This window comes from Homo sapiens, chromosome 2, assembly GCF_000001405.40.
Source record: "Homo sapiens chromosome 2, GRCh38.p14 Primary Assembly".
Classification (NCBI taxonomy): Eukaryota; Metazoa; Chordata; class Mammalia; order Primates; family Hominidae; genus Homo; species Homo sapiens.
The window spans coordinates 102,493,950-102,506,853 of NC_000002.12; the positions used below are offsets into that span (position 1 = coordinate 102,493,950).

Consider the following 12,904-nt stretch of genomic DNA (forward strand, 5'->3'; position numbering starts at 1 on the left):
GAGTAGAAAGTCCCCTGTTAAAAGTAATGTAGTCAAACAAGACTAAACCCTTCCTCAGATGCTATGTCATAGAATTTACCCTTACAGGGATCCATGTGCATGGTGGGGACCATAACTATCATGACTAGGAGGGTTGGTGGTCACAAAGAAAGGCAATTAATTATGATTATGGCCTCAGCTATCAGTGTCATATGAATCCATAAGATTTAATATTATGACTACAAAGAGCCTTCTTACTTTGGTTCTTAAGGACAGTTAAAAATCAGTACATTTAATGAACTGACATGGCTATAAGGTTTCTTTATTTTATATGAACTGGTATAATGTTAGCCAAAAGTATACTGTAAAAAGTTAAGGATGTTACTGTAGAGCACCACTAAACATGATGCAAAAAATCTGGTCAATAGATAAAATTAAAATAGAATTCTAACAAGTATTCAATAAATAAAAATGAATGCAGGAAGAGACAATAAACCAGGAGTGAAGGAAGGGAAAATAAAAAAATATATAGTAATATGGTAGATCTAAAACTAACCATAACAATATTACATTAACTGTTAATGGACTAAACGCTCCAATTAAAAGTCAGAGATTAACAGAACTGATTATAAAGCGGGGCTCAAATATATTCTATTTATAAGAAATGCAATTTAATTATAAAGGCATAAATAAGGTGAAAGTAAATGGATGCAAAAAGATAAACCAAGCAAACAATAAGCATAAGAATGTTGATTTGGCTACGTTAATATCAGTTAAAAGACATAAAGATAGAAAGTATTACAAAGATAAAGAAGGATCTATCATAATGATAAAAAAGCTGACTAATCAAGAATACCTAAAAATTGTACATGTATATCCACCTAATATTAGTGCAACAAAATACATGAATTAAAAATTGACAAATTGAAAGGCAGAAAATGACAATTCTATAATTTTAGTAGGAGATTCTAATACCTTTCTCTTAGGAAATGATACTAAAATTAAGTAAAATATTAGCAAGGCATGGAGAATCTGAATATTATCAACCACCTTGCCCTAATTCCTATTCATAGAATATTAGGCCCAACTACCGCAAACTCAACATTATTTTCAAGGGCTTATGGTATGCTTAATAAAAATGGCCATACATTTGACAACTAAAGAAGCCTCAATAACTTTAGAAGACTTGTTACCATACAGAGTATATTTTTTTTACACAACAGAATTAAAAATATATTTAAAATATCTAGGAAAGTCTTAATATTTGGAAATTAAAAAACAAACTTCTAGATGTTTCATGGTTCAAGAAAGAAAATAACATTTTAGATATCTTTTAAATAACATTAAAAAGTACTCCCAAAACAGAAATACTTCGAAGTGAATTTAACAAAGATATGCTAGATCCTTTCATTGAATATTATAGAACATTGCTGGCAGGAATTAGAAGACCTAAATAATGTCATATTCATTAATGGAAGAGTAAACATTTTTAAGGAATCAGTTTTCTCCTATTTGATCTATAGATTCAATAAGAGCCCATCAAAATCCCAGAAAACATTTTAGTAGAAACTGACAAAGCTGATTCTAAAAATCTGTTTGGAAATGTGAATGACCTAGATTACATGAAGCAATGTCTAAAACTAAAGAACAAAGCTGAAAGACTTATTTGATGACTTACTATAATGCCACGATAATTATAATAATTCTACACAAATGACAATATTAATTAAAGAATAGAGATATAGACTATGAAAGAGACTGGAGAGTTTAGAAATAGACTTACATATACATGGCCAATTAATTTTTGGCAAAAGAACTAAGGCAATTCAATGGAAGGCAAAGTCTGTTCAACAAATGGTACTGAAAAACTCTGGTATCCATGTGGAAAACATGAAAATCACCCCTAACCTCAAGCCATATTTAAAAATTAACACAACATGTATCATAGATGAAATGGAAAAGGTATAATTATAAATCTCCTGGAAGAAAACATGGAAGTAAAATCTTTATGACTATAGAAACAAAGACTTTTTGACCTTGGAGTAGTCAAAAGACAGGAAAAGCACAAATCAAAACACACACAAAAAAGAAAAAGCAATGAATTGGATTTTATCAAAAGAAAAAAAATGCTCTTCAAAATGCACAGTCAAAAAAGCAAGCTACATATGAAAGAAAACCTTCACTATACATGCATTTCACAAAAGACATAGAGAATATGGAAATAATTTTAAATAATTTTAGTTCTCAATAAGGGTATAAACAGCTCAATTGAAAATAAGAAAAAGATTTGAACAGATACACCATAAAAGATGATATACTCATGGTCAGTAAGCACATGAAAATATGCGCAACATAGTAATCAGGGAAATGCAAATTAAATCACAGTGAAATGCCACCCATCCATTCAAATGACTAGAATTTAAAAAACTGACAATATCAAGTGCTGACAAGGATATGGAGCAACTGGGAATCTCATACATTTCTGGTGGTGTTCTGCAGTAGATAGGGTTTGTCCAAATCTACACTGAAAGTCCAAGGAAGCTGAGAGGCAGAAAAAAGGGAGGGATATACCTAGTTTTTTAGAAATAAACATTTAGCAGAGACTTAGGAACAGAAGCTATGCTTTTGTCTTTAGCAGTGATGAGACAATATGGTGGAGCACTATGCCATTAGCTCCCAGACCCAGGGCTTATATACCATAGAGAAGGAATGTGTAGGACAATTGTAGGGAAAGGCAAGAATGTTGTATAAATCTGTCTATGGGCAGAATTTATGGGCAAAGTTGTTTGGGCTTACTGTACTTACTTCACTTACTGTAAATCAAGGGCACAATTTATAGTATGTGCTTTTACAAAAAGAACAGTAGATAAAACAGAAATCTTAGAGGCATTCCCAGAACTGGGATTAATCAGAAATCATCATGGTGGATTAGCATCCAAGATGAGGTTGCTTCAGTCTCCACAGGTGGGTGTGTAAAATGATATGATGACTTTGTTTTGTTTTTAATCTATTTTTGAGAGAGAGTCTCACTGTGTTGCCCAGGCTGGAGTGCAGTGGCATATCTCTGCTCACCTGCTCACTGCAATCTCCATCTCCCAGATTCAAGGGATTGTCATGTCTCAGCCTCCTGAGTAGCTGGAATTACAGGCACATGCCATCACACCCAGCTAATTTTTGTATTTTTAGTAGAGACAGGGTTTCACCATGTAAGCCAGGCTGATCTTGAACTCCTGGCCTCAAGTGATGCATCTGCCTCGGCCTCCCAAAGTGCTGGGACTACAGGCATGAGCCACCGTGCCTGGCCTGACATGATGACTTTGAAAAACAATTTGGCAGTTTCTTAAAACTTTCACGTGTCTACCATACTACCTAGCCATTGTACTCCTAGGTATATACGCAAGAGAAATGACAACATAGGTCTACAAAAAAGGCTTGTACATGAATGTTCACAGCAGCAACATTCAAACAGCCAAAAACTGGGGAGTTGGGAGTGGACAAATATTCATTAACAGGTAAACAGGTAAATAAATGAAGAAAATATGCCATAACCAGATAGTGGAATACTACTCAGGTATAAAAAGGAAGGGACCACTAACACCTGCAACAACTTGGGCAACTCAAAAACATCATGCTGAGTTAAATAAGCCCGAAAAAAGGAGTTCATAATTTATTATTCAAACTGTATAAAATGCAAATTAATCTATTGTGACAATAATAAATTAGAGATTTCCTGGGGCCAGGGTCGGAGAGAAGGATGGACTTCAAATGAATGAGGAACCTTTCAGGGTTCTTGGGATTTTTCTATATCTTGACTATGGCGATGGCTTTATGAGTATCTACAATGCCCAGAATTCATTCATTTTAGATGCAGTTTACCATATGTAAGTCTTTCCTCAATAAAGTTAACAAGAAAAAAAATGTCAGCACATTTGGAATTGACTCTTCATCTCTGCTGAGCCCTGGTCGAAGGACTAATGTTTTTAGTCATTGTGTGAGTCTCTGTGTGTTAAAAGGGCTTTGCAAACTTTTACAGTGGCATCAGCTAAAGGATCATAATTATTATAATGTTGGAAGGCTTGGAAAATCTGTTAAAGGTAACAAAAAGGACCGTTTGCTGAGACAATGAGTGAAGAGGAAAAATCTAACCTTGTTCTCCATGGGGCTGTGGACATGTTTGAGATTTAGCATTGGCTGAGCTTTTCCCTTCAGTGTATAAAAGACACACACACATTATTGTGACTTGAAATGAACCCAAAGAAAATCTTTTGCAACTATAATGTTACCCAGAGCCTGGTAATTTGAAAGGTAAGAACTGTTTTTCGTGCAGTAGTAAGGATTGTGATTGTAAATGCAGTCTTCTTAATTATATGTACTACTTTAGCTTCTGAAACTGCCATGGCATCTTCCTGGCAGGGCACACTGGTGTCCAGAGACAAGGCTGGCCCAGTTGACTTTCCCAGGCCATTGGGACAGTCTGGGTAGCTACTAATAATCTAACAAGCTATGTGAAAGAGTTTTAGTTTGTGGCAACAATATTCAAATCTTTGAGTCTCGGTCATATTCTCTGAGTTTCCTTTGGATTTGAGAGTCAAATAAACAGGTTCCACTTAACCTCATTCAGACTTTCCTTTTCTGGGATTGTGGGGAGTGTGTGACTCCTCACTGTGGCTTCACTCCTTTCAGTGTGAGCTCAACTCCAACAGTGCAATACTCAGGCCTTCTAAGACCCATATGTGGCAGAAAGTGAAATTGGACAAACAAACTCACCGAGTCAAGACACAACCACTGAGATTCTTTTGGATTCATTCAAAATCATATGTCACATTTTTTTTCAAATACTCAGCCCAGGTTTTCTTAAAGCATGGCTTCAGTTTGTTTAAATAAAATAGACCAGGATTTTAGCAGTTTTGTAAAGTGTGATTGATACACAAACAGACCAATAGATGTTGTCCAGGTCCTTCATGGATCAGACACTCAGAGTGCATTAAATGTACAAGAGTTTTACTAAAGAAACTCCTGTGAGGGAAAATGGGGAAGAAGCCCAGGGGGATGGGAGAGCCCTCAGGTCGCAGTGCAGAGTGATTCCAGGGGAAGGAGAGAGGGAAGGACAGAAGCTGGATGGGACTGTCTTTGCTGCACTTCTTAGAGAGTTTATTAAGCTCATCAGGAACCCACAGGCTGAAACACGTATCCAAGGAGTCCTTTGCCTTCCAGGAAGGGGCCTATCTCAGTGTCCCTGCCAAGCTCAGGCCTTAGCTGAGAATGGCAGATGGGCATCCCTGCAGTTAGAGATCTGAGGGGCTCTGATGGCCCCAGATAGAGAGATGGATGATAGACAGCAGATGGATAGATGATATATAGATGGATAGATAGATAGATAGATAGATAGAATTAGAAAATACATATCTGTAGTAGTTTTCTCTAGGAGGGATTGTGGGACTTTTGTGGGGGTTTCCCTTTGCTCTTTTGTTTCTGGACAATTTCTACACTTTTTCATGTATATTCTTAACCAAATTCAGTTTAAGATCTCTGCAAGTCTTTCTCTTTTTAAGTAATTCTTTTCCTAATACGAGAAATTCACAATGTTCATGGTATGTGTGTGTGTCTGTGTGTCTGTTGCATGTGTCTGTTGCTTGTGTGTCTGTTGTGTGTGTCTATTGCATGTGTCTGTATGTTGTGTGTGTACTTGCTTGGACCCATTGGCACCAAGCTTTCTGATTCTTCTTCATCTTCCCCAGCTTCCTCTCCTCCCAGAAAATACACTAGAAACTTATCTTTGAGGGAAGAAGGCAAGCCTATTATAACCTTCTGCCCACATTCCCTTATCTAAACATGCTTATTGGCTACTGGTTACTTATTACATTGAACAGTGAGCACTAATTTATACACTCAAAACCTGCATCCTAGGCTCTCTTAAGAAACATGATTGAACCATTTGGGGAATAAGCCAGAGTTTAAGACCTTGTAAAATTCAAAATAAAATTATTTGTGCTCTGAGAGATTTATAACGAAAACTTCTAGTCTGTAACACAAGTTAATTTCACAGTATGGTCATTTTGTTTATAAAAGCTGTACTGGCTGGAATAGTGTCCCCTCAAAAATCCATGCTCACCTGGAACTGCAGGATAGGATCGTAACTGGAAACAGTGTCTTTACAGTTATCCTTATTGAAGGCGAGCTCGCACTGGACTATGGTGGGCCCTAATCCAATGCCTGATGTCCTTATAAGAAGGTGATATGACACAGAGGAGACACACAGAGAAGACCAGGTGAAGACGCAGGCAGGGACTGGAGTGATGCACTCACAAACCTAGGAACGGTGAGGACTGCCGGCAGTCACCAGAAGAAGCTCATAAGAGGCAAGGAAGGGCCCTCCCCTAACGCCTTCAGGGGGCGCGTAGCACTGCCGACATCTCGAGTCCAGACTCTTAGTCTCCACAACAGTGAGAGGATACATTTTTGTTAATTTGAGCCACCTAGCTTGTGGTACTTTGTCACAGCATCCCTAGGAGAGTCATATAGGAGTCAAGGTGACAGAGCCTTATTGTAGAGGTGCTTGTGGACAAAAAACTCATTAGCAGAGGGCCACTGTGCAACCTCCTCGTGTGGCCTCCCCCGTCAACAAAGTGTATTGTCAATGAAACTTCCTAGATGAGGACTGATGACACCTGAGCTACTTCAAGCCATGCCCCTCACTGCCAGCTCACATTCCCAAGCCCAGGGCCACTCTGTATGATGTTTGATATCTGCACATAAGGGAGTAACAAAAAGTGTACAGTTACATGGTGACTGCAGCATAAATATGTCCATCCCATAACCTCCTGCTGCTTTTGCTTGTATCTGTCCCTAGAGGACAGCCTCCCTCAAACAAACGTGAGGCATTCTTTAGAAGGGAGAGCAAGGAGAAGGCCTTTGTCATCAATGCACTCTGACTGTTCATGATTATGAACAAAACAGGACAGCAGCTTAGGGACAACTTTGCACATGAGCAATCATTTACTGCCAACCTCTCTGTGGAAAAGCAACAATCTTTTTTTTTTTTTTTAGTAAGATAGAGTTTCGCTCTTGTCACCCAGGTTGGAGTGCAATGGTGCAATCTCAGCTCACGGCAACCTCGCCTCTCGGGTTCAAGTGATTCTCCTGCCTCAGTCTCCCGAGTAGCTGGGATTACAGGCATGCGCCACCATGCCTGGCTAATTTTTTTTTTTCAAGAGATGGAGTCTCGCTCTGGCACCCAGGCTGGAGTACACTGGTGTGGTCTCAGCTTACTGCAACCTCCACTTCCCGGGTTCGAGCAATTCTCCTGCCTCAGTCTCCTAAGTAGCTGGGACTACAAGCACATGCCACCATGGCTGGCTAAATTTTGTATTTTAGTAGAGATACGGTTTCACCACGTTGCCCTGGCTGGTCTCGAACTCCTGAGCTCAGGCAATCTGCCCACCTCGGCCTCCAAAAGTGCTAGGATTACAGGCATGAGCCTAATTTTTTGAATTTTTAGTAGAGATGGGGTTTCACCACGTTGGCAAGGCTGGTCTCGAACTTCTGACCTTAGGTGACCCACCCACCTCGGCCTCCCAAAGTGCTGGGATTACAGGCATGAGCCACCACGCCCAGCCAAAAACAACAATCTTTTATAATGGAGGTGATGTTATAGGGAATCAGCAGAGGTCGGGCTTACAGAGGACCTGGAGGGGCCAGAACTAGCTAGGAAAGGGGCTGGGGGAGGAATGGCTTCCTGCAGGCTGCAGACCACAGCAAGGGGTTGGTGTGCACACAAAGCAGTGTGTGGTTCTGGTGAGTCCTGAGGATGAAGCCAAACCCAGAACCCAAGGGCTGTCAGACCACACCCAAGATCAGTGGTGATACTGATTGTCACTCAGTGGAGACACTAAGTGTCTCCATAAGGAAGATGATTCCCATCTTGGAGAGATCAGAGTCAAGCAGAAGGCGTGGGTGAGCCTGGCAGGGTGCAGCATGAGGGGCCACAGCCAGAGGGGCAATGAGAGCCAACTGTGAAGGTGAGGGGGCATCATCAGTTCTAGAAGGTCCACACAGTCCATCTATGCTTCTGCAGCACGCAGAATACCATCACGGCCACGATTTCCTTGAGTTTTAGCTTCCGTCCTCTGCTCTGATTTTTTGCATTTTTCCTGGTGTAGATAGATGCTAAGAGGCAAGTACTGTGATTTCGCAGGACTCTTCAGGGGCTGATATTCCCAAAGGTCTTCATTTTCTGCAGAGATCTTCGTTCAGCTCTTCTCTATGTCTCATTACCTGTACACCTGCTGCTGCTTTTCAGGACCTAGATCATAGTTCTGGGCTATGGAGTGGCATAAAATAGTGATAAGTAGATCCCTGCAGCTTCAAAATAAATGTTGAAATAAATAGGGAAATAACATGAAAATTCAGAGTGTGTGTCACATAGGCTAGAATCGTTTGGGGGATTCGATGAAATGATGTGTATGGAGGGTATAACGGTCTAGGTGCAATCAGGTAAGATACACCACATGATAGGTTAAATAAAAAATGTGAATGCATTATAAAATGTATTAACTATAATAAAGGCATAACTATAAGATATAAGGAAACTCTCTATGTACCCTAGGGCTGAGGGAGGGCCCCCAAGGAAGGACACGCTTGGGAGGGGTTCACCTTTTACTGGAGAAGGTGTGGACTGGCCACTGGGTAGCAGAGAAGTTGGCTGCTTTATCCAGACTGGAGTTGGTCTGGAGTTGGTGGGCAAACAATCGACCACCCTCCGGAAGGCAGGCAGGGCCAGACATCAGTCAGCAATCCCTGTGCCAGGGCTGCAGTGGGAGCCTGCACTTGGGAGATGGCAGAGAATCTTCAGAGGAGCAGGCTGCATGGGAGGACGGGGAGAAGGCTCTCAGAGCGTGGGCTGCTCGGGTGGAGCCCTGGGCCACAGACATGTGGCACGTGGGTCATGCTGGGGCTTTTTGCAGACAGGTTATCACCAGGCCAAAGCCGCAGGGTTGCAGAGGGATCACTTTCAGAGCCTGTGGCTCAGGCAGGATCCGCTGGAGTTCCTCACACCCACGTGGCTGACTCTCCCCACAGGCCCCAGAAAAACTGCAGGAAGGCCCTTCTGCCTGCACCTGAATGTCCTTTCTAGGCCCTCTACGGACAGAGCTTAACTAGGTGCTCACTTTAAGGAAAAATTGCTTAAAGGAATTCCATTGTCTATTATAGAACACAAATGGAAGGGTTCATTTGGAGTCTAGAGGCAATAAATTAACTGCCACTGAAAGCTTTGCAAAGAGACAGGCACGTAGTAGGTGCTCAGTGATTGGAAGTTGTGAGTATTACACTTTTTATTCAGTGAAACTGTGTACATCTAAATTATTGGGAATACAGTTAAAAGGCAGTCATCTTAGTATTTTTTGTTGTGTAATTTATTTTTGTGTATTACTTAACTAGACACAAAGCTGAGAATGTGCATGCAAAGTGTTCCTAGTTTCTATTCATAATTCATATTTGTTTACTCTCTTTTTTGCCTAGGTCTTATACAATATGTTAATTGCCTTTACAAAGATGCATAAATTTGAAGACATAGAAACTGTCGACATTTTGGCTGGATGTGCCCGATTCATCGTTGTGGGGCTTGGAGGGGTATTGTTTGGCATCGTTTTTGGATTTATTTCTGCATTTATCACACGTTTCACTCAGAATATCTCTGCAATTGAGCCACTCATCGTCTTCATGTTCAGCTATTTGTCTTACTTAGCTGCTGAAACCCTCTATCTCTCCGGCATCCTGGCGTGAGTACAAACCAAGGATCAAGTCACATAGTAATAGAAAGAAAGTTTAGAACCACATCACATGAGCCAGGCATCTGGGAAAGACATAACCAATGACGCTAACCCTCCAACATGTTGCAGATTTAGGATCTTCTAAACTTTTATGAAACCTGATTCGGGTTCTTTGTCAAACCAACGTTCTCTCCAATGCCTGCCTTCATCTTCTTGTGATTTGCCTGAGGAGGAAAGCATAGCAATTATCACGTCAATTTAGAAGGCTCAGGAAAGCTGGTACAGAGAAAATCTGGGGAAACTTCAAGGTTAAGTTCTCATCTCAGTAGTGTGTTTTTTTCCTTGAAAAGTGTTTTTTTGTTTGTTTGTTTTGAGACAGAGTCTCGCTCTGTCGCCCAGGCTGGAGTGCAGTGGCACGATCTCGGCTCACTGCAAGCTCCGCCTCCCGGGTTCACTCCATTCTCCTGCCTCAGCCTCCTGAGTAGCTGGGACTACAGGTACTGGCCACCACGCCCGGCTAATTTTTTGTATTTTTAGTGGCGACGGGGTTTCACCATGTTAGCCAAGATGGTCTCGATCTCCTGACCTCGTGATCTGCCCGCCTTGGCCTCCCAAAGTGGAAAAGTTAATTTTAAAGTTGAAGAGAGGCATGCACGAGGGACTGACATTCCTGGGCTCTGCCTTCTGCTGTGCCCCTCAAACCACATCACACAGCCATGGCTCTTCAGTGTGTGATGAAACTAGACAGATGGGATAAGACTAGAAATCTACATTTCCTTGCTCTAATGAAAATATTTTTGAAATGCTTATCCTTATGTCCTTGTATCCTTGAGATGTTTATCTTTGAATGAGGCTTCTCAGCTTGGCTTATTATATCTGATGATGTTGTTTTCTGTACGGCATTATCTTTCTTTCCAGCTATTCAGGCAGATACATTTAATTTTATTGTAGAGAAATACCTCTTTCAATTAAATGTGATAGTGTAAACTCTAGGCATCTGTCACTTTCCCACCTGGAAAATGATCAAAACTTCTAAGACAAGGCAAGTTTCTTTCTCTTTCCCATACTTGCTTAATGGCTCTAGAACAGAAATATTTGAAATAAAGCCAATAAAAAAGAACCTTGCATTGTCTTAGAAGTTTTGATCATTTATGGTTGGATTGGAGGAAATGAGAACCTTGAAGAATTATTCTGTTATTTTGGTTTAAGGCAGAGTAACGCAGAGAGTGTGAGTTGGGACTGACAAACTCTTCATGAAGAGGGCAAGAGGGAAGCATTCTGCATTGGGTGTGCCCATGCGAATTACGTGTCCTTTTATTTCACCGTGCCACGCCCACCTTCCCACCACATTCACCTTTACCTTGTAAAGATCTCTTAGGGAGGGAAAAGAGGGAGAAAGAAAATCTGCGGAAAATCTGCAGCCACAGAAGGGAATAAGGGAGATATTCCTGCATCAACACGGGCTTCATGCATCTGTGGCATTGCCTGTGGGGAGGGCGTTTTGTGGAGGGGGAAAACCTCATGGATTTTCTCTGAGACTCTGCTCCTTTTATAGAATCACAGCCTGCGCAGTAACAATGAAAAAGTACGTGGAAGAAAACGTGTCCCAGACATCATACACGACCATCAAGTACTTCATGAAGATGCTGAGCAGCGTCAGCGAGACCTTGATCTTCATCTTCATGGGTGTGTCCACTGTGGGCAAGAATCACGAGTGGAACTGGGCCTTCATCTGCTTCACCCTGGCCTTCTGCCAAATCTGGAGAGCCATCAGTAAGAGACGGCAGGGCTCCAGAGTCTCCGGTCCTGCTGCATTTTCAGTTCTCTTATTCCCTTCCGCAATGTTAAAACTGGAGGACTGAGTAGATGCTAACTGGTTTTACCGGTTAGGGTAGACTAGGAACCTGGTCGTGAGCAGGAATCTTTTCTGTTTGTTCCCTCAGTCAGCTCAAAGTAATTAGTGGTTGATAAGGTTCTGCATTGAAGCAAGGCTGGGGCAAGGAGTACTTTTTTTTAATTGAAGAAAGAAGTTTCACATCTACCTATTTAAATATAATTCAGTCAATGGAAAAATACATGTTTGTTACTTTTTATTTGGAGTTGCACCAATGTTTTTGGTTCCTAAGACCAACATATCCCTTGCTCTTCACTTCTTTGCAGATTTGTATCCTCTTGCACCTTAAATCAGATATGGATTATAAACTGTGGGCATTTATTTACACTTTCACTATAGGATAAGTGAGATCTCACAAATTGTATTCTATGGAAGACAAATACTGATAGAAAACATCCCCCTAAATAGTATAGGTGGTTTCATTTGAGGGTTGAGTGCATGAATGTGTGATGTATAGCAAACAAACAAATCAGAAAGTGAATATTTTTAAAAGAGCTTCGTATTAATTAGTAAGAACAACTTTAGAGTGTAACTGGCATCACACCTGTAAAATGTAACTAATCTTTTAAAATGAGAACTAGTGGCTGATGATTTATCTTGTACATTTATGTTTCAGGAGCTAGAAAAGAACATTAAGCACTGAACTACAATATATGTGTTGCCTTTTGATTAAAAGCAAATCTATTTTTAAGTGACTTGACTAATATTTGAAGCGTTATGTTAAATGACTTTGACCAATATTTTCAAGCCAATTACTCAAAGAGAAATTAGGTGAAATGGCTGATAACCTATCTTGAACATATTAATTCCAAATTCATTTAGGATGGGTTTTAGGCTCTAGAGGAGATTAACAGGAATACAGAAATATTAAAATATCTATAAGTAACTCTGAATATATATGTTTGTTGGGCTCCTTGGGGGAGAATAGAGGAAGCTGTGATACAAGTTTATTATCTTAAATCATTATCACCGGCCTTATTACAAACTAGCTGTTTGATCTTGGACAGACATGTAACTACTCAAAATCGTCTCCCTCAACCACAGAATGATGGATTTGAACAAATTTCTTAGTTCCCTTTCAGTTCTAATACTCTGGGACTCTGGGAATCTACAGGGGAGTAGAGCTAATGCCAAGAGAAGTAAAATTACAGAGCTTTAGCCGAGCCAAAAAGAAAAGAAACTACCTAGGAGAGGATTTATATTGCAGGAACCTCAACATTGTTAATCCTTCATGATCCAGCTCAACCCCATACTCTTACAG

The 12,904-nt window shown here is 40.6% G+C and overlaps 1 protein-coding gene across 2 annotated transcripts in view; it reads left to right on the forward strand.

The window, feature by feature from the left end:
• The window catches only part of SLC9A4 (solute carrier family 9 member A4), a 60,747-nt gene that overhangs the window by 20,724 nt on the left and 27,119 nt on the right, over positions 1-12,904 (forward strand). Inside the window, exons 3-4 of one of the 2 annotated variants that reach the window (NM_001011552.4) lie at positions 9,499-9,758; positions 11,305-11,522. In NM_001011552.4, the coding sequence (NP_001011552.2) occupies positions 9,499-9,758; positions 11,305-11,522 (478 nt within the window). The remainder of the gene's footprint in view (positions 1-9,498; positions 9,759-11,304; positions 11,523-12,904) is intronic. The other variant, XM_011511158.2, reaches the window with a different exon arrangement.